Source organism: Homo sapiens, chromosome 11, assembly GCF_000001405.40.
Source record: "Homo sapiens chromosome 11, GRCh38.p14 Primary Assembly".
In the NCBI taxonomy this organism is placed as follows: Eukaryota; Metazoa; Chordata; class Mammalia; order Primates; family Hominidae; genus Homo; species Homo sapiens.
In genome coordinates, this window is record NC_000011.10 from 95,878,994 (window position 1) to 95,901,854 (window position 22,861).

The following is a 22,861-nucleotide window of genomic DNA, read 5'->3' on the forward strand; positions in this document are numbered from 1 at the left end:
CATTGACCCTTATAGAAGTTAAGGAACTTTTCCAAGGTGACATATATCTCCCAACAGTGGCTGGAATTGAACAGATGTCTGATTACACTAAGACCATGATCATAACATGATAACATCCCAAGCAAGCAAGGGATATGAAGGACCAGAGGCTGAGAAAGAGATCAGAACCAGAGGTAAAAATGTGGGAGTCATCCAAAAAGAGATGACAGCTGAAACCACGAAGAAGAAAGAGAATGTGGAAGAAAGAGAGTGGGGAAAGCAAGGGATGAAGAAAACTTTAGCATTACCCCACTTATAAGAGAAGGAACAGCAAAGTACACATAGGAGGGGAGGGCAGATGAGAAATGAACCACATATTGTCACCAGATTTGAAACCTGGAATCATCATCTTTGACTCCTCTCTTCCCATAATCTGCAATGTTCAGATAGCTTTGTGTACATTACATTCACCTATAATTTTTTCAGATTTGTTTTTTACAAAGCATTATGTCATTATCCTAGTACATGTCCTTTAGCAACTTTTACTTGGAATTATTCCAGTAGCCTCCAAACATGTCTTCATTCTTTCCATTTGACCTGCTCTTGACTAGTATCACCTGTTTATGTACCCACAGCCTCTTCTATCACTCCACCTACTATCGCCAACAAATGGGAGCTTATTATTCACAATGTTCTTCTGTCCTTGGATTTTTAATCTATCTTGAAAAACAAATGGAGATGCACCATTCATTTCAGACTGCACATATTCAATAGTAAACATATAAATAAACTTAAAATCATCCTCCCCACTGAAAGGCATTTATATTGTCTCCAGACTTGTCATTACAAACTTCAGGATTATCTTGTCAAATTTTAACCATATTATTTATAGAATAAGCAAAAATTAAAATCTTAAAAATACTGAGCTTTTCTGTTCAAATCAAGGTATGTTTTTCTGTTTAAGTATTCATCTTTACCACTCAGCAGAGTTTTAAAGTTTCTTCACATATTTTCTGCATATTTAAGTTTATTCCTAGATATTTTACATTTTTAGTTATTATAGAATTTTTCTCTTATATTTTATAAGTATTTTTATAATAGAAAGCTATAATTCTTATATATAAATTTTGCCTTTTAGTGTGCCTTGTAATTTTTTCTTGGAAGTCAGACATGTAAAAGGTACTAGGTAAAAAGAACTGAGGTAAACAGGCCTTTGGTGATGTGGTGAAGCAAGAGAGAAACTGTAAGATACTCAATACATTACTCGTGTGTTTTAGGAGGAGCTTGTATTTTCTCAACTGCATATATGTCTATAATCAATATATAGTATGTTTTGTTTATTGAAATTTACTTAGCTAGATAGATACCATTCTGTCATAGAATATACCACAATTTATTAATGATCAAATGATGTACATTTATCACGTACACAAATAATGTACAATTAAGATCTTTATTCCAGTCTCCTGGAATAAATGTGGGACTTTCTACATTAGTAAAACTGGAACTGCTAAGAAGAATGAGCATTTGTAGATATTGCTATATTTCTCTCTACTGTGGCTGTTTCAGCACTGTATGAGAATTCCCACTGCCCCACTTTTCAAACAATCCTTGGTATTATCAGACTTGTTAATTGTTTTGATCTGATGAATGTGAAATAAGTTTTCTCAGTTGCTTTAAAAATGACATATCCCTGATTCCCTGATTATAGTGAGGTTTAACATTTTAAAATATATTGGTTAAACATTATGTATATATTTTTCCTTGAATTTCTTGTTCATAGACTTTCTCAACTTTCTGTTGGGTTGCATTTTCTCTTATTAATTTGTAGATGTTCTTTGCATATTTGGGTACTAATCTTTTATCAGTTACACATATTCTTTGCAAGTCTACTATCCCAAAATGTGACCTGTCTTTTCACAGTCTTCACATACGGAATTTGTCACATAAAGTTGGTAAATTTTAGCACAATCAAAATAATAATCTTTTCTTTAAAAGTTAATACCTTAGAGTCTTATTTTAAATATTCTTCCTGATATCGTAAGTCATAATGATATTGTCATATATTTTCTTCTAAAATTTTAAAGTTCTTATTTTCAGTTTTAGGTTTTCAATCTAATGAATCCAGTTGGTGTGTGTGAGTTAGAAATTCAACCTTTTTTTTTTTAAACATGGCCAACCTAGCATTGATTACCAAATAGTTCATTCTTTCTCCCACTGATTTGTTATACATCTGTCATATACAGAGTTCCTACAAACATCAGTCTGTTTCTAAACTTGACTGATTTATTCCTATTCTGATTTACTTTAGCTTATGCCTGATTGGGTGAATCTCCCCACTTTATTTTTCCTCTGGGTTAATCTTGACCTTTTACCCTTGCATATAAATTTTAGAGTCAGCTAAAATTTTGCCAAGTTCTGCAAAACAAACTTTTGAATTTTTTTGGAATTATATTCAATTAACAGATATATTTGAAAATATTTTACACCTCCAGACTATTGATTTACCCATCCATTTATTTAGATATCCTTTTAGCTTCTTTAATAAAGTTTTATAACTTTCTTCATAAAGTTCTTCTATATCTCGTTTTAACTTATTCCTAAGTAAGGTACTTTTGTTGCTGTTGTAACTGGGATCTTCTTTAAATCACATTTTCTAAACATTTTTGCTAAGGTACAAAAGCATGATCTTTTTATGTTATCTTGTATCCGGCAACAGTGGTAAGCTATACAATTAGTTCTGGTAGTTTGTATATAGATTTTCTCAGATTTCCCATACAGACAATCCTCTATAAATAATGAAAGTTTTGTTTATTCCTTTCATTTCTTGTATCATTTATTATTTTTCTTATTTTACTGGCTAGGGTTTCCAGCATAATGCTGAATAAAAGTAGCGATAGTAATCATCATGTTTCTAAGCTTAATGAACGTATTTCTAGTATTTCATCATTAAGTATGAGGCTTATTGTAGAGTTCTGATGGATACCCTTTATCGGGCTAAGGTTGATTTTTTTCAATTCCTAGGTTCTTAAGAGTTGATATTGTTGGTAAGGGAGGTCGTGGTGCTAATCATAAATAAATGCTAATAATCATTTCTTCTCTATTAAAATAATCATTATGTGATAGACACTGTTTACTATCTAACATAAGCTCTATGAGACTCCTTAACTCATTCTAAATAGATCTGCATATTTTCAGTACATGTCAATATCACATTCATGGACATAGTCTAATAATCCAATTGGCCAGGCGCGGTGGCTCACGCCTGTAATCCCAACACTCTCGGGGGGGCCGAGGTGGGCGGATCATGAGATCAGAAGATCAAGGTCATCCTGGCTAACACGGTGAAACCCCGTCTCTACTAAAAATACAAAAAATTAGCCAGGCGTGGTGGCACGCACCTGTAATCCCAGCTCCTCGGGAAGCTGAGGCAGGAGAATCGCTTGAACCCGGGAGACAGAGGTTGCAAATGAGCCGAGATGGCGCCAATGCACTCCAGCCTAGGGGATAGAGCGAGACTCCCTCTAAAATAAAATAAAATAAAATAAAATAAAATAAAATAATTTCTGGCCTTTAGTTTGCAAAGGAAATATGCATAACACAGATTTTGAAGACAGACACGTTTGCCTGATTTAAGCCTATTACATACTTCAAGACAAGACAGATGGTTAAGAACAAAACATATCCTTTATCATATACATGTACATAAGATATCTAAAACAAAGACATAAAAGACATAATTATTTTGTGTTGTTTTTTTTTTTTTTTGAGACAGAGTCTCACTCTGTCGCCCAGGCTGGAGTGCAGTGGCACGATCTTGGCTCACTGCCAGCTCCGCCTCCCGGGTTCACGCCATTTTCCTGCCTCAGCCTCCCGAGTAGCTGGGACTACAGGCGCCCGCCACCACATCCAGCTAATTTTTTTTTTTTTTTTTTTTTTTTTTTTTTTGTATTTTTAGAGAGACGGGGTTTCACCGTGTTAGCCAGGATGGTCTCGATCTCCTGACCTCGTGATCCGCCCATCTCGGCCTCCCAAAGTGCTGGGATTACAGGCGTGATCCACCGCGCCCGGCCAAAAGACATAAGTCTATTTAATATTTAATTCTGAATTGTTGACAAACATTGGTATAAAACAACAGGCTTCACAAAGGAAAGGAACTACTACATAGCTTGACTTTTATCTTTCAATAACCATCATTTGAGGCACATACTTTAATTAAAACCCAGTGCTATACAAATTATAACTTATAAATAAGTAGAGCTGTGCATTTGAATTTTAAAATCCTATATTTTGTGGGATTTATTCTCCAGTGAGCAAATAAATAATCAGACATAAGTTCCCTGGGTTCTTAATTCTACTAAGTTGCCAACTTCAGAAATATGTTTTAGTAAAAACAAGCCTAATTTTAAAAATTGCAAATGAGTTATTTCTTTAAATTGCATTACTTGAAATTCTATGTAAAAGAATACTACATTTTTAAGTTTTAAAACTGAGATTAAATAAGTTTTACTTCCAGAGGGAGAACAAATGAAGCAAGGAGAAAACACTCTACAATTATGTCACCAGAAAAGCACAATTCCATTTACAAAGCCTGGATTCGTGCCCAATTTTTCCAAAACACATCTACCAGATTACATCTGTATAAGACTTTTTCCATAACAAACAAGGATAACAAGGCAAAAAAGTAATACAAATATAATTCCACTTGAAAAATCAAAGTTCAAGATATATCTAGACTAGTTCCATCCCCAGCCCATTTTCCATTCTGCTTTACTGATGCAGAGGCAACAAATCTTGTTTGAATACAAAATTCTTAACAGAAAAAGCTTTCATAGTTAGCTGTTAATCTACTAAGGCACTATCCTTTCAGGAAAGTGCCATTTTACAGTACCTATAGCAAAAAACCTACACAATTTAACCTTTTTAATGAAACTGGATTAGCTTTTCAATGTATTATGTTCTCTACACTTTCTATTTAAAAGCTATTACTAAAGGAGCTTATAAAATGTGAAGGCTCAGGACACAAATAAGCAATGAGGCTATGTGAAGAACTGGAAGCCTAGAGGTTAACCAGCTTCAAATCATCTGTGAATGATAATTTTCAAAAACACTACACCAAACCCTTCATCACACACATAAGAGCCAAACCACAGTCAGTCAAAATGCAACACGTCGCTGTCTGCAGTTAGTTTTGCCTGTAATTAAAACACTACCATTTTATGGCTGCTAAAGGTATACACATGAAAAGCAATCATCATCAATTTAAAAAATTGAGAGAGGAAATCAAATTTTATTATAAAACTCTCCTTTTCTGGTTACTTAGCAAAGCATTTCTCAAAGATTTATTAAGAAATATTGAAACCCACTATTTTCATCCCCCAAAATGTATAAAATATATTCCTTATTAACTAAGAAAATCTCACTTAGCATTTAAAAAAGTTTAGCAGCAAAACTGTGGGAGGAGTCTCTCCTAGTAATGTATCCTACAAGAGTATGAATGACCTGAGACAAAATAAGGGTAACAGCCAACTGTGCCACTAAGCACATGATTTCATTCACCCTTTCTGACTGTCAGGTTTCTCATTTGTCAAATGGGAATAATAACAACTGGATCACAGGATTGTTGAGAAAGCTAAAAGAGATGAGTCATGTACGAATATCTATCATAATAGCAGGCTAGACTTTTTTTAATTGTTAGAAGCACATCCCTTCTCCCACCACAACCTTCCCCACAAAAGAAATCCACATATACCTTTGAAATCAGGCCAGATTTTTTAAATGATACTAACACTTAATTTAGTGTTACTCACTCATCTCCCTCCAGCAACTGAAGACTGTAATTCAAGTAAAGATATATCTAACAACTAAAGATACCTTTAAAAATGAGAAAACTGGGTAACATGTAGCTTAACAACATACTACTTTTCTTTTTTTTCTCTGCCCTTTTAGGCACTCTCCTAGGGAAAGAACAGTTAACCTTTGTTGCCTAAAACCATCTTCTCCTTGATCTAACAGCTATCTGCTTATTCAGCAAATAAAAATTCTGTGAGGGTCTTCCTAAGTTGTTAAAGATCCTAAATTAGTAAGGCACTAATGGGGATACATTGAAACAATTCCTGCAAACAGAGCTGATGTATAAATTTGACAGACTCCCTTTGTAACCTAGTGCTAAGGTAGTCATGTAATTCAGGACACTTACGTCTAACGTTAAACCTGAAGGGACAACTATTCTAGACAAATTTGCATTTATAATCACCCTACCCATCGTATTATCTCCAGATTGTACATTTGCAAAATGATCTTTTGCTTCAGAAGGAAAAGGCTTTGTTACTTTTTCTTTTGTAAAAAAAATAACAACTAAACACACCTAGTGGCTAGCTATTGTTTTCCAAAAAAAGGAACCAGGGCTCCTATGAAAACTGGATGATGATTCTAGAACTGAGGGAGGAAATATATATTATGAGTCTGGAGCATCTTGTCGTGCCAGAAAGTAAGCAAGTGCTCAAAAAACACAATGACGAGAGCATAGCAAAGGAACAAAAGATCTGACTGAAAGAACTCTCAATTTGAAGCTGGAATCAATAAAGTCGTTCTGGATTGTAACAAAAAGTATAAAATAAATATCCATGAGTCCATAATAAGATAAATAAAAGATTAAACAAATCAATAAATGGGAGAAACAAATCTCCCATGCAGAATTCAAAACATCTTGTTAGATGTTCCACCCTCAAGGAGGTAGAGTATAACCCCCTACTCCTTAAGTGTGGGCTGTGCATAGCAACTTCTTTCCAAAAAGTACAGTATGTGGGTGGGGGAGGGGCTCAGGGAATAATTACAGTGAAAAAACCTAACACCGCCTCAACCAAGTGATCAAGGTTATCATCAGCAGTGATAAGTCATGTTGATAGTAAGTACTCTTAATAAAATGTGATGAAATGGCACTCACTTTACCTCTGTGACCTTCCTCCCCAAAACACATAACCCCAGTTGAATGAGTAAAATGTCACATGGTCTATAAAATACCATCAAGTCATCAAAAACAAGATACAGTCTGACACAGTCATCAAAAACAAAAAAGTCTGAGAAACTGTCCCAGCCAAGAGAAACCTAAGGAGACATAACTACTAAATGTAATGTGGCATCCTGCATGGGTAGGATCCTGGAACAAAAAGAACATTAGGTAAAAACTAAGGATATCTCAATAAAGTGTGGACTTTAATAATAACGTATCAGTATTGGTTCATTATGTGGAACAAATGTAGCTTACTAATGTAAGATGTTATAATGGGTGGAACTGGATGTAAAGTAGATGGGAACTCTATTATCTTTGCAATTTTTCTAAGAATCTAAAACTGTTCTAAAATTAAAAGTTTAAGAAAAAGTAGCAAACCTTAAAATATTTTATATACAGATTAACATTATGCACTATGGCCCTCATTTTGTCCAAATGTAAGCCAGTCATTCACTATTTATGATATTCATGGTGTCCTGAGGAAATGATGGAGGTCTGCATGCAGAGAGAAGTTGACAGTGGAGAATCCTCCTTCATCTATCCATTTTCAGCATCCTGCAGTGTACTGCACTTCACATGTATGTCGAGTTAAGTAGTTTAAACTAATACTCACAAGTATACACAAATGATTTAAAATGTCTCAGACAGGAAACAGCAGGTAGGATATAGGCATAAGCAAGTAGCATAAGTGACATCCCTTCATTCCTGAGTTATCAGTCACAATATGAGGTTAGTTGTTATTTAATGATACTTTTAACTAAATAAATCTGACCAGAAGTATGCCAAGACATTTCAAAATTATTAAGAAGCCTATGAGCCCTTAGTGGATTTTTATTAATGTAATGAATAAGCAAACATTAGATACATACATATATTTTAAAATAGTAACAACTTGAGAAGCAACAATGGATTTATAACCATTCTTGTTAACAATGAACCCTGCCCTTTGTATGCTTCAAGATAATGGCTAATGATAGCATGAAGTTTTCATAATTAGCATAAGATATATGCAGATTACGAAGATAAGCCTTTCTAATTTTTAGTGATGTTTAAAATCATGCTACTCCCAATCTAATATTTTATGAAATTTCACAAAAGGTAATGACAAATATGCAGAAGATTTTACAGATGTTGTCTTCTTGTTGAATTCTGTTTTGACAATGAAATGGATGAAAAAGATATAAGTATCCTCAACTTATGCTCAACAGCAAATGACTTCCTTAAGGAAAACAATGTTTTAGCTAAAATTGTGTAAGTGTAACCAGTGAGAAAGCAGCCACATGTTTGGAATAAAAAGATTCTGACATACTGTCCATCAGGTGAGGATACAAGAAGACATACCCTCATCAGATAATGGATTTGCCAGCACCTTGATCTTGGACTTCCCAGCTTCCAGAACCATGAGAAATAAATGTTTATTGTTTCGTGTTTTTTGGAGAAAAAAAAAACGATTATGAAGTAAAGTTAAAGGGTTAGCACTACACATATAATTCATTTTCTCAATCATTCATAGACAAGCAGTTATAGAAAAGTAGATAAATCCAGAAATGTACAGAGTGCTACAGGATATCACTAATGTGGTTAATTTCATAGAAATGAGACCTTTAATAAATAGAGGAATACTTACAAACTATAATGAGATGTGTAGGAACTATCACACAGTGTTTAAGTGACTTAGCTCCCGAACTGGACTGCATGGGCTGGAACACCGGCAATAGAATTTATTAGCTATGAGATCTTGGACATATTACTTAATCTCTACAAGTTATTATCATCTGTAGAATGGTGACAGAATTGGTCAGAGTTTTACAAGAGATAATTCATGTATAGCACTTAGAACAACGCTTGGCACACAGTACATATTCAATAAATGTTAGCTATTACTGGTTATTATGAGAATAATCATAAAAATCTTTTATACCACAAAAAATTCATTAATCATCTTTTGGCAAAGAACTTAGAGGTGATCAACCTCAGAGATGAATTACACATTTTTCTTTTACAAATAAGTAAGCATTCCAAATTTGCTGGCCTATTCTGGGATATTTTGTAGACCGGGATCTATGAGAATACTCCATCAGTATCTCCTGCTAAATTAGTTATATTGATAGTGTTGGCCACAAATATTTAACAGAAAGTACTTCATCAGAACTTTAAAATAGTATACATACCCTCAAATCAGGAGAAAAGTTGTCGGCAGAAGTTGAAATGGAATCTGATGATACAACAGAAGCTGATTTTGTATGCACTGAATTCTCTGAATGAGAAGTGGAGGCACTACAAAATACAAAAGTACAGTATGTTGGAAAAATGGGGGCTTCAAAGACCAATTTCAGACATTGTATTTAATATAACTCCAATATTTATTAAAATTTCCACAGCCAACTAAGTTCTGCTTTGCCTATTCAATCTTATCTCTAAGTCTTAACAAATTACAAACTATTCCTGCTGGGTCAAGTATTCTTATGATCCAAGTTCCCTCTGGATAGACTCCCAATACTCATGAAGACACTCCAGGCTAATTCCTTCTTTTTATCCATTCACCCATCCATTCATTCATCCAAAGAACATTCACTGAGTGGTCCAATGTACAAAACCACTACACCAGGCACTGTGATTTGAAAATAAATATGACATCATCCCCATGTTCATGAAGCTCACAAGCCTGTGACACAGACAAGTAAATAAAGTGGTGCAGTGTTATGACTCTAAATAGAAACACATACACACACACATACACACACACACACACACACAAACACCCCACATACATACAAATATCTATGGGAGAAAAGAAAAGGAAGCAGCCAATTCTGGCCAGAAAGTTCAGGGAAGACTTCTCAGAGGAGATGATATTCAAACTGAGTCTCAAAAGATAGGAGATTATCAGACCAACAAACAAGGAAATTTCAAGAACAAACAAAAGGCAATGCAAAGGTATAGAAGTATCAAAGTCTACAGAACATCTCAGATACTACAAATAGTTGAATAAGGGTGAATGGATAAAAGAGCAGATGAGGATGGAAAGAGAAGTTCTTTGTACCTTGTACCCTCCCACCACATCAAACAACCCTGCCTGAAGTATCTACTTCTTCCATTATAAGTAATCACTCTACAGTTACTTTTACTTTCTTAAATTCCTATAGAACTTTTTTTTTTTTTTTCTGAGACAGAGTTTCACTCTTGTCACCCAGGCTGGAGTGCAATGGTGCGATCTCCGGTCACTGCAACCTCCGCCTCCCAGGTTCAAGCGATTCTCCTGTCTCAGACGCCTGAGTAGCTGGGATTACAGGCACCTGCCCCCATACCTGGCTAATTTTTGTATTTTTGTAGAGACGAGGTTTCACCATGTTGGCCAGGCTGGTCTTGAACTCCTGACCTCAACTGATGTGCCCGCTTCGGCCTCCCAAAGTGCTGGGATTACAGGTGTGAGCCACTGCGCCTGGCCAAACTTTCGATACCTGATCACGCTTTTATTGTTTATTTTGTCTCACCAACTAGTGCCCCAAGAACAAAAATTATGTCTTTTTTGGGGGGGGAGGGGGGCGGGGGAGAAATGAGGTCTCACTATGTTATCCAGGCTGTTCTCCTCAAACTCCTGGCCTCAAACGATCCTCTCACTCAGCCTCCCAAAGTGTCGGGATTTCATGCATGGGCTACCGTGCTCAAGCCCACTTCTTTTTTATTTTCCACAAAATCTACTTCAGGACCTGTGTACACTGTTAACATGTATTATGTTTGTTAAATTTAAAAATCTGTGACAATATGCCACAAATTGAATAACTGATATCATTTCCTCTTATCAGTAAAACAAAGTTAAAATTATTTAAGGTAAGATCAATGGTAGAAAAACCTCAAATACTTTGAATTGGGTGTTAAAGTTCAGATTTTCAAAAATGTATTTTTCTAAAACATATTAAAAGTCTTCCTTATACCAGAATGCAAAATTTTTTTCACTAGGTTTTGATGAAATACTTCACCTTTGAGTTGTGATAATATTAAGAACCATTTAGCTTTAAAATGAATCCCATTTATTCATTACAAACCTGCCTATAACAAGAATAACTAAATTACTTATACAATGTGAAAATCACCTCCCCAAAAAAGAAATTGTCACTTCATTTAAATGAATGAAAAGTGGCATTCCAGTGCAAACACAACATAGTATTTCCAACAACCTATACTATTATACAAAAAAGCAGTCATAAGAAATTATATTACATAGTTTTATAATGTAAGGAAAGAAAAAGTGATAGGCTGTGATGTTTTCCTTTTTTTTGTATCTAAATTCTGATTAAATGTCATTTGCCTTAAAATAACAGGCAAAATAACCAAATTTTAAGCACAGTACTTTGACAGACATTGTTAGCTCCCTCCTTCAAATAGATTCCCCTTTCTCCCTAACTTTGATCAGGGTAGTTTGTGCCCTGCCGAAGACAAGAGGCTTGCTATTCTCTTCCTTGTGGCTAGGAGAGCCACGTGAGTCAATTCCAGTCAGTGGGATTTAGTGGGAAATCTGCTAATGGCTATAGAAACCTTTTATTTTCTCAATAAAGGGGAGCAGAAACAGCAGGGTAGTCTTTGTCCTTTCCCATTTCTCTTGCCTAAAATAAGAATATAAAGTTTGAAAATACAAGAGCCATCTTATAAACATTAGCAATGTGCTGGCCTGCTGAGGACAAGGAGCCAAAGAATAGGATGAGCATAGGTTCTTGTAGCATCACTGAGCCAACAACTCTCTACCTCTGGAATTCTTGTTATGTAACATAAATGGGTGAGCACAGCTGTGTGTGCCTGTAGTCCAAGATGCTCAAGAGGCTGAAGCAGAAGGATCACTTGAGCCCAGGAGTTTGAGACCAGCCTGGGCAACATGCCAAGAACTCATCTCGAAAAATTAAATAAAATTAAAATTTTTTAAATAAAATAAATGAACTTAAATTTTTTAAATCACTGTAATAGAGTCTGTTCTAGACAGTCAAACACAATATAGCAATCAACATCTCATAAAGTCTATCTGGGGCAAGTTCAAATGTATAATGCTATTTTATACGCCTATGCCCTTCTGGGAGAAAAACTCTTAAAGGCAATTGAATATAACTTGAAATTATGGAGAGTGTATTATCTAGAAAAATAATATTGACAGACTATTGTAGCATGTAGCACCAAGAAACCAAACAGCTCTCTGGTTGGGTGTAGTGGCTCACGCCTGTAATCCCAGCACTTTGGAAGGCCAAGGAGGGTGGATCACTTCAGCCCAGGAGTTCAAAACCAGCCTGGGCAACATGGTGAAACTCCCTCTCTACTAAAAATACAAAAATTAGCCAGGAGTGGTGGCACATGCCTGTAGTCCCAGCTACTCGGGAGGCTGAAGCATGAGAATCATTTGAACCTGGCAGGTAGAGGTTGCAGTGAGCTGAGATCATACCACTGCACTCCAGCCTGGGCAACAGAGCAAGACTCTCACCAAAAAAAAAAAAGAAAGAAAGAAAGAAACCAAATGGCTCTTTAGAGCCCAAGTATAAAGTAAATAAATCTAAGAGAGAGAAAATAACAAATCCAGGTACTGCAACTTATACTTTGCAGTCTCAGATTCAAAGAATCAGTCTTTCTAGCAAAAGTGTGGTAAACAGCCTTTAATTATTAACTTCTCTTCAGACACACATAAACATAGGTAGATATTATGATCCACAGTGTTATAGTTTAATAAGCACTAATGTATATTTCTGTATAACCAGTCTACAAAGGGTTTTACTCTCCAGGCAAATATTGAACTGGAGGGGTACAGTGTGGGAATACATCATAGTACTGTTCTTGTGATTACGGCAGAAACACACACACACACAGAGAGAGAGAAAGGGGGAGAGAGGGAGGGAGAGAGAGTGCACAGGATAGAGGGAGAGAGGGAGACAGAGAGAGCATGAGAGAGCAAGTAAGCATGCAGGTGCAGCAGAACTGTTAAAACTTCTGGTATAAACGTAAAGTGCTGCCTTTAGCAGCTACTCAGACTGAAGGTGGCCGTGGGCACAGTAGGATGCATAGTTCTCTTTTCTGTAGTTGTTTGTGTTCTTCTGTCATACTGGCTCTGTGCATGCTTGTAGTCACCATGGCTACTGGTATAACACACGCTAATTTCCACTGCTTTTTTTCCATTTCTCCCTTGCTCATCTTGAAGTCAAGCTCTCTATGTTTATTTTTTATGAACTGTTCCACAAACAAGCTCTGTATTTCCCAAAATTCATGCCTCTGCTTCAGGCCTTTCCAAAATAGAATGTTCCTTTACCCTAATCTATTTAATAACATCCTACCTACCCTTTAAGACCTGGTTTAAAAAACTAACTTCTCCAAGAAGTCTTGGAGTGTTCCAAGAAGGTCTTCCAGTTGGAACTAAACTCTCAGTCTTCTACACTTTCATAGACTTTGTCTATAACTGCACTTAACACTTCCCACATTAGACTAGAGAACTTCAGTTACATGGCCACCTCTTTTTAAAATTACAAACTCCAAATAATAAGAATCTTGTAATTAGCAAGGCATTTGAACTTGAAGTAGAAACTGCAGTCTCTAACCTCATTAAGTAACCGATACCATTTTGGTCCCCAGATTTCCTAGGCCTATATACTTCATCTCAGTCCATCCAAACATTCCTGTTTTCCTTGTCAACCTGGGCCTTTGTTCCAAATGCTAAAACTTCTAGTCAACACTCTGTCGCATATGTTCATTACCATATTACTTTGTGTTTCCTACACCCACTTTTCTCTGTCCAAGCCTTTCTTCAACTACTAATTCTCTTCCTAATCTTTATCTGAATGTTTTAGTCCACAGTGAATAAACTCCCCTACATCTTCAACAGGATTCTCCCCTTCACCTCTGCCTCAACTAACCTCTCCTCACAGGAATCCACTTCCCTGCAGACTTTAATAAGAGACTCTTTTCTTTTCCCACATGTAACAACGCCCAAAGATGAAACAAGCATTTTCCCAGCTGAACTCTCAGGCTTCTACATTACTATTAGTTTTGCATCTTCACATATAAAAACCTTCTTCCTCTAAGGTTTATGGCTTTTCAGTATACAACCTCCTTGTTACTATCATCCACCCACCCATCCTCCTCACTCACTAAGGGTTTTCTCATCTGGCTCACTTTCCTCTCTAGCATTTCTTTCTACTCCAAAGCTGCCATCATTATGGGAATTTTATTATCCATAAAGATAAACTGTCAACAACCTAGCTCAAAATTCCTCAATTCCTACATAACCTCATACACATTCCCACTTCAGCAATGTGCATCTTGTCATTACACCTTGGACTTTATCACTTCTGGGAATTACCCTGCCACTATAATCTTAAACTTGAGGAAATTAATCTTTGACTAGATGCCAACCCTTTCTAAATATTTAACTTTCTTAACTTTCCCTTCATCTCATCTTCAACCTAGTAGAGACACCCAGACCCTCAACCCCTCCATTTTTTATTATCCTTCATGATTCATTGCTCTCCTTTGCCCACTTCGCTTCCCTTCCTAACCATCAGTGTCCTTATATCCGTATCCATTAGCCACGACTGTCCTGCTAATCCCTAAATGTGGACCAACATAACCATCTTTCTTGGCTACTAGTGAAGGAAATCTTCAAACTGGGGCCACTTAGGACTTACGATTAGAAACATCAGCTAGGCCCAACACAGTGCTCAATGATTCTCCCATTCCCCAAGTGACTTTTTTAAACCATAACCATCCTCTTCTCCCACACAGCTATCACATCCAATCTATCCAAAGTCCTGTACAGTCTACTTCCCTACCATCCCTTGGGTATATCTTCTCTCTATCCTACTTTTTACCATCCTAACACCACTTCTCTGGACTAGTGCAAATAACTTGTCTCTTTTCTCCTACTCATCCAATATATCATCCCAAACCAAAACCAAAGTGATCTTTCCAAAACCTAAATCTGATCATATCAATCCCTTGCTTAAATCTTCATTGATTCCTCACTGCCTACAGAATCAAGCCAAAACCCCTCAGCATAACACTCAGTTTTCCACGATCTGGCCCTTGTTCTACATATCCAGCTGTAGTTTTTACTCATCTGGAACCACTGGGAATGGCTTGCAGATTTCTTAAGTTCTGTAGCCATTTCATGCCTCTGTGCCTTTGATAACCCTATTGTATCTGCCTCTAATGTCCTTTATAATCTTCCATGCCCTCTTTGTCCCATCTATCTTGTAGACATACCTACTGCTTCTTTTACTGTACACTGTACATATTTCTATCATAATACCTGTAACATTATATTGCATTTACTCACCTAAAAGCTCCTCTCCCCACATAGTTATTATTTACTATTTCAAGATTCTTTCTTTACTACAATCTTCTGTGAGCAAACAACCTTCTCAAAATAAAACACGTAAAACACTGAAAGAAGAATACGTGGCATATGTAGCTATTATTATTTATGACAACTGAGTGTTACTGTACACATATTATCCCTCAAGTCAGGTTAGTTACATAAATAAAATTATAACGGCAAAAGTTCGAAGGCAAGAACTATAATTAGTGGCCTAATGTTTACAAAATAAGAACTTACGTCTCGTGGATGGCATTATGTTTGAAGTATTAGAAAAATAAATATTATTCCCACTATGGAAGCATGTGTCTTGGCATTGCAAATGCAGTTTAAAAGTGAAACTATCATAGAAGATTAAAGTTTTCAAAAGAGTTTCTTGAAATTTTGAAGAAAAAGAACTCCAATTTGAAATTGACTGCTTAAAATTACTTTTCTTCTACATAAAGAAAACTCTTAAGTCCTAAAAAGGACTAAAAAGAAGAAGACAGTACCAAGGGAAGAGGGTACATGATTACATCACCAATAATAACTTTTCTCTGAGAAAATATGAGTAAAAATCGAATGCTCCTTTTGCCTGTTACTGTTTTCTACATTACATTTCCCAAAACTGTTTACTCCCACTGACAGACACTCCAATTATACAAGATAATTTCATGAAGAAACAATTTTCATGTTCTTTTCTTCCTGCAAAAAAATTTTATTACCACGCCCTTTCTATATACAAAACATTGGGTTATGAAACAGCCTCTGCACTTCAGATTTCTGACCAATAAGAGACATTATACCACACAAGCATATCAATAATACCATGAGAGGTACAAACAAGGGCCAGGAGAAAAAAAAAAAAACCCGAAGGAAATGGTAATAGTTATGACTAGAGGAAGCCAAGAAATGTATTAAGTTGAACCATTTGAAATTGCTGTTTTTATAGGTCAGATGGCCAAATATCAACTATTTCAGATGGCTCCATGTGCTAATGAAGGAAACAGAAGACACTGAGGTTGGGCCTTTAATGAGTGAATGAATCAGATCAAGGCTTTGGAAATCACACACACACAAAGGGAAAAAAAGTAAAAATAAAGGGCTTGAGAAACTACAAGGCATATTTTGTAAATAAGTAGTTTATTCAAACTAAACAGATAAAAGGCTGTAATTTGCTGAAATCTAAATGCCAGGCTTAAAAGCCTGGCTAATAAAAGGCAAGGGGCATACAATGAGATATCACTTCACTCACACTATACTGTCTATAATAAAATTTTTTTAAAAACAGACAATAGCAGGTGTTGGCAAAGATGTGGAATAATCAGAACACTCAGGCACTGCTTGTGGGAATGTAAAATGGTATAGCCACTTTGGAAGACAGTCTGGTAGTTCCTTAAAAGGTGAAACACACAATTACCCTATGACCCAGCAATTCTACTCCTAAAAATAAACCCAAGAGAAATGAAAATATTTTTCCACACACAAAAAAACCCACGATTATTTACCAGAGAAAAACAAAATATATATTAAAAACACATGAATGTACATGAATATGTACATGAATGTTCATAGCAGCATTATTCACAATAGCCAAAAAGTGGAAACAACCCATGTCATTCCCCTTCTTAAAATCCTTCAGTGGCTCCCTACTGCTCTCAAGATAAAGATCAATACCTTACCACAGCCTCAAGTTGCTACATAATCTAATCCTTGCCTCCTTCTCCAGTTCCTCTTTGTATCTCCCTCTCCCCTTGCTCTCCCCAGTTCAACCACACTAGCCTTCTTTGAGATTCTGAAATTAGCTAGCCCCTCTGCAGGGAGCATGGTTCTGCCAAACTCCTCTCAACTGAAATATCACCTCCTTGGGAAAATCCAATCAGATGCCCCAGACAAAACCAGTGCTCCCATAGCCACTCTCATAGCACTTTGTGCTTTTCATTCTTTTCACTTACAACCAGTCTCTTCTTACGTATCTTTGCAAATGTTTGATTAATGATTTTTTTTTGTTTTTTTGGTTTTTTTTTTTGAGGCAGGGTCTTCCTCTGTCACCCAGGCTGGAGTGCAACAGTGCAATCATAGCTCTGTGCAGCCTCAAATTCTTGGACTCAAGTGATCCTCCCCGCTCAGGCTCCCAAGAAGCTAGAATTACAGATGCAAGACACCATGCCTGTCTTGATTAATGACTACGCTTCCTAAGACATCAAACTTCAAGGAGAAGGGATCCTGTTGGTTTTGCTCAACATTCTACTCCTAGGACCTAGCATAGCACTTGGTATAAAGTAGACACTCAGGAAATATTTGTTAAGGAGTGAAAGACTGAATGAGAATGATCAGAAGATTGAATTATTCTAATTAAATGCATCAGAGGCCATCACTAGAACATGCAAGATAAAACAAAAAAGAAATCTGTGAAAGGAGGGAGAGGGATAAAACATGGGTAGGGAAGGTGGAAGTCTAGTTTTCCTTCTGGAGTTGTTATTGTGTGCATATTATTCTGTATACCATATATCATGTCCCATTCCCATCAAAAGACTTCCTGGAATACTGAGACAAACATTTCTTTTAAGAGGTTGTCTTAAAAGAATGACAATCTTTAAAAAAAAAAAAAAAAAACTAGTGGGAACTGGTTTTTGACTATGTTATTTTCACTGGGATGGTTAAAGAAGTAGTTGGGAATTGAGAAACCAGGATTAGTCCTATCTAGCTAACAGCAGTATCCTTGGCCAAGTCACTTAATTCCCACTCCCCATTACACTGTCACTCTGTGAAAAGTACCAATTAGACTGTTGGTGATTAACTTTTTTGGTGGTCATAGACCTCTTTGAAAATCCCATGAGAGCTATTTCCTGAAGTGCTTACAATGTTAGGGACTTAAAGGTTAAGAATCTTGGCCCCGATGATCTCTTTTAGTTCTAAAGTGGTCCAGGGCTTCTGAAATGAGTATTCTGCCTTTTGTAACATCCACACAATATACAGATAAATACTAAAAAATTAAAATAAATTTTTTATACACACACGATGCACACATGCATGTGTGCTAAAATAGCTTCATATTTGAAATTTTTTAGTATTTTAATTATGTAATCACAGTCTTAAATATAAAGACACAAAGACTAAATAGAATTAATCCGATATTGTGTTTCTTACAATAAAGTCTTTAAGAGAATATTTATGTACAATGGAGTCAAAGGGAAATTAAATCCAACAACTACATATATTTCAGGAGCTCTGGACTATCACTGTGCAAATTCAACACCCTTACTTACAAATAGAAATGACATCTATCAACAAATATTAGCCACAATTCCTTTAAATATTTTCATTTATATCATGTGATTTTATCAGAAACTACACCTATTTAGCTAAGTAGTGATTCTATTTCAAATGTCCTACATTTCAAAATATATCCACAATAATTTAAGAGAGAGAGACCTCCTAACAATACATACACGGTTGGTTCAGTAACTCTTCTCTCTAAATGATTTAATCAGACTAAACTGGACCAGACTAACGTAAACTCTATTGACTCCAGGACATCACCTTTGCCAGCGTTCAACAAGGTTACGTTTACAAGTCTTCTTAGTCTGTGATTCACAAACTTACTCTAACTTTGTGACCTCGGCACACTAGAGCTGGTTATTCGCTTCAGTGGCCTGCCTGACTCACTTGGAGTACTTTTCTGCCAACTTGAAAAAATGGAAACACTTTGGAGTAATCTTGGTACTTGCATTTCTGACAGCAAACTCCTTTTTCTTTCAAATACTACATATGGTTTTTGTTCACAAGTCTCTTCCCAAATCTGCAGACCGTATTCCATTCTTATGTGTCTATCATCATTGCCTCCATTTCTCAATGCCCACTTACTGCTTAATCTCTTGGAATCTAGCTTCTGCCACTATCAAGTGATGCCCTGAAATTGTTCTTTCTATAATTACTAATGGCCTGGTTGGTTTTTAAAAAAAAAAAAAAAAAGTTTTTTTCTTAGTTCTGATTCTATACATGATCATCTCCCTTCAGCAGCATATTATTTTGGTTATCCCATTTCTCAGTTTAACCAATGCCTTTTTTAGTGCCTACAATATGTAAGATACTACTCATCTAGGAACCCCTAGAAATACAGAGATAAATATGACCCTTGCTGTTGTTGGTGAACTTTCACTAGTATACTTTAACACAAGCACAGCAACAGTGAGACGCTGTCTCTACAAACACACACACACAAAAAAACACACAAACAGAACATGATAAATGGGTGTGAGAAAGAGAAACAAATCCCTGGGGTTTGGAGAAACAGAGCCCTTGGGTGTTGTTTATATTATGTGATTTTACCAGAAACTATACCTATGTAGCTAAGTAGTGATTCTATTTCAAATGTCTAACATTTCCAAATATATCCACAATAATATTGGGGAGAGAGACCACCTAACAATGCTGTATATGAAAAGTTCATATAAAGTTTTAATTTAGAGGCTCGAGAAAGGCTTTTATGAAAGAGGTGGCATTTGAAGTTGGCCAGAAGATTCTAAAGAGGTTCAATACTCTCAACAATTTCACTAAGCAAAGGAACAGCATGAAAAAGGACAAAGTAGGAAATTCAAGACATGTTAAAGCAACTGGAGAAGGCAGATCACTTTTATTGGCATACAGCGTACTTATAATGCAGTTAGAGATAAGCCTGAAAAGGCAGGTTTGGATTACAGAGTAGAAAGTGCTGAATAATAAGTTGATATTTCTGTAAGCAATGAGAGACCTCTGAAAGTTTCTGTACTTTAGGAAGACTTTTAACAATAAGTCGAAGAATAGATTACAAGAGAAGGAAAATCTGTTACAAGACTATTAGGAGATCTTTTCCAGTCAGTGGTACTGAGAGCCTAAACTAGCAATAAAAATAAAATAGGAGTGGACATATGGGACACTTTGGAAACAGAATAGAATTTAGCAGCTGACTTGACCTGAAAACAAGGGAGAAGGAAGACTCAAAATATGATCCCCAGTCTTGCTGACTGAAAAATCAGTGTGCCAAATTAGACAGTAAAGAAGAAAACAGGTCGTTTGAGAAGCTGCTGCTTTCTGTCTTGAAATTTTTTAAGACTGAGGTGGTAGCAAGGCCAAAGGATTTTAGATTTTACTTGATCATATATTTGTTCATTCATTCATTCATTCAGGCAATGTTGATTTACTGCTTATCAGTGTGATATGAGTGTTCTATGAAGATATAAGTGTGATACAACAATGTTATATATGCTCCCCAATTATAGCCTCATGGGAGAGATAGACTCCTTTTTAACTGTCTATGAATCTGATTGTGATGAATGCTATAAGAATGGTTAAAAAAAAAAAACTACAGGAGCGCAGAGGAGGAAAGGACTAAATATGACTGGGAAAAGCTGAGGCAAGCTTGAAAGATGTCATATTTGCTGGCCAGTGACTTGTTAGTAGGATTTGATGGTAAAGCAAAAGAGTAAAAACATTCCAGACAGAGAACAGCTTAAATAAATAGATCATTTGGGGAAACCTATGTAACTGGGCTTTGTGGAGGCAAGAAAGGTTCAAGCTATGTTCCGTGAATAAACCTCGATACCATGCTAAAAATCCAGATTATGTTCTGAGGACAATGGGAAGCCATCAAACATTTCTGAGTAGAAGTGTCAAATAGTTCTATGTGCAGAGACATTCTGCTCAGGTTATGGAGCATCCACTGGGAAAAAAATTCTAGAGGAACTTAGGTCAGTTAATAAGTTATTGTATTAGAGCAGTAAGATCACTGAATAGACAACGGAACGAGGCCACATAATGACAAAGATAGAAAATATAGAAGAGCGAGCAGGTTTGGCTAGGATGTGGTATGTGGAAATAATTCAATAGATTTTGATATCATTGAACATTGAACTTGAGGTTCTTGCAAAACATCAAAGTGGATATATTCATTAAGCAAGCAGAAATACAGCTTTAACATTCTATGGAGAGGTTACAGCTAGGTGACAGCTAAATCAAATCCATAAAATGGAATTATGTAGCCCAGGGACAAGATATAAAACAAGATTTAATACTTAGCAAATGCAACTATTCAAAATAAGTAGTTAACACTACCTAATACTACAGAGCAGTCAAGGGAAATGAGAGAAAAGTCCATTGGACTGATTAATAAAATGATAAATTAATTACAATGTCAACACAGTCTCTATAATGTTTTAGAAATACTTATTTGACATGAATGAAAAAGTTAAGGTATGGAGGCACGGACTGCCTCAACTTCTTGCCCTTCCTTCAATAAACTTACCTATATCCAAACGCACCCTTCCTTCCTTTTGTAGATAACATTTTTTTTTTTTAGGTTCAAAGCCAATCCTTCCTCTCATGCACATCATTCTGCCCCATCCAGTCTACTTTGGGAGAGGTGTGTGTGTGTGCATGTGCGTGTGCACGCACACACACTCACATGCATAAACTTACACAATACCAGACATTTAGTAGGAACTCAATATTGATTACCTGAATCTACATGAGAATCATTAATAACACTCAAATTGAACTCTACCTTCAACTACTCTACTGATGCTGTTTTCTAGATGTCATTAATGACCTCAGGAACAAAACCAGGGGCCTTGTTTCTCTGAGTTCTCACCTTCCTTAACCTCTGTGCATTATTTGATGCTATCATCACTACCTCCCTCCTGGAATTCTTTGCTCTCTAAGCTTCCCTTGTCATTAAAATTTACTAGCTTTGCTTTGACTCTCTCCTTTTCTAAGTTATTTCTTCTAGTTGTCCCCTAAATATAGATTCTCTTGAAAGCTCTCACCTTGCCTCTGTTCTCTCTTCTTAATTTCTCTCTGAAATATCATGAATTCCCACATCTTCAGTTACCATCTCTGTGCAAATGATTTTCAACCTTCTATCTTTAATCTTCTCAGTCCCACATTCACAAATACCCACTACTAGTCAAAGCATTTGACTATCTGGCCCCACACTCTCTCTCCAGCCTTATTTCTCACTCTGATCCTGCTTGGCTACTGCCAACACCTTTCAAGGACACTAAGCTATACAGTACCTAGAATTATACCAAATATTTTTTAAAACTGTCCCTTTCACATGCAAGTACTGCATTAGTAGCCAACTATTCTCACAGCCAATCAGAAAGTTATAGAATATTAAAAATGTAAGGGATTTCTGAGATCATTCTAGTGAAACCCCATCCCTCCCCTTATTTATAGATAAAGTATCGCCCAGAGAAGTGAAGTAAATGGTTTGGAATATAGTATCAAATTAGTGGCACAGCCAGAGAGAGAGAGAGAAGCAGATACAGAATTGGATCTCCTTTTGACTAACTCATATTGCTTCTGATAAGGAGTACAGAACTAAAAGGAGAAATGCCCTCAAAGTGCTTATTATCTAACTGGGGAGCTATAACACAAACGTATACCCCAATATTTATTTTTATTATATAAACTCAATGCATGAGGATGAAGTTCAGTTGAGACCAATAAGGGAATGCTCCTTGGAGCAGATAAAGCTTAACTGGATTTGGAAACAGGTTAAGAATGAACTA

The 22,861-nt window shown here is 36.2% G+C and overlaps 1 protein-coding gene across 23 annotated transcripts in view; it reads right to left on the bottom strand.

The window, feature by feature from the left end:
- Nucleotides 1-22,861, bottom strand: part of MTMR2 (myotubularin related protein 2) — a 91,228-nt gene that overhangs the window by 46,114 nt on the left and 22,253 nt on the right. For 13 of the 23 annotated variants that reach the window (NM_001440649.1, NM_001440647.1, NM_001440651.1 and 10 more), the window contains one exon: nt 9,163-9,268. The exons of 1 other annotated variant lie outside the window; for it this stretch is intronic. In NM_001440649.1, the coding sequence (NP_001427578.1) occupies nt 9,163-9,268 (106 nt within the window). Of the gene's footprint in view, nt 1-3,380; nt 3,504-8,332; nt 8,381-8,618; nt 8,692-9,162; nt 9,269-22,861 lie in introns of all 23 variants that reach the window. 9 more of the 23 variants (NM_001440643.1, NM_001440639.1, NM_001440634.1 and 6 more) reach the window with 4 other exon arrangements.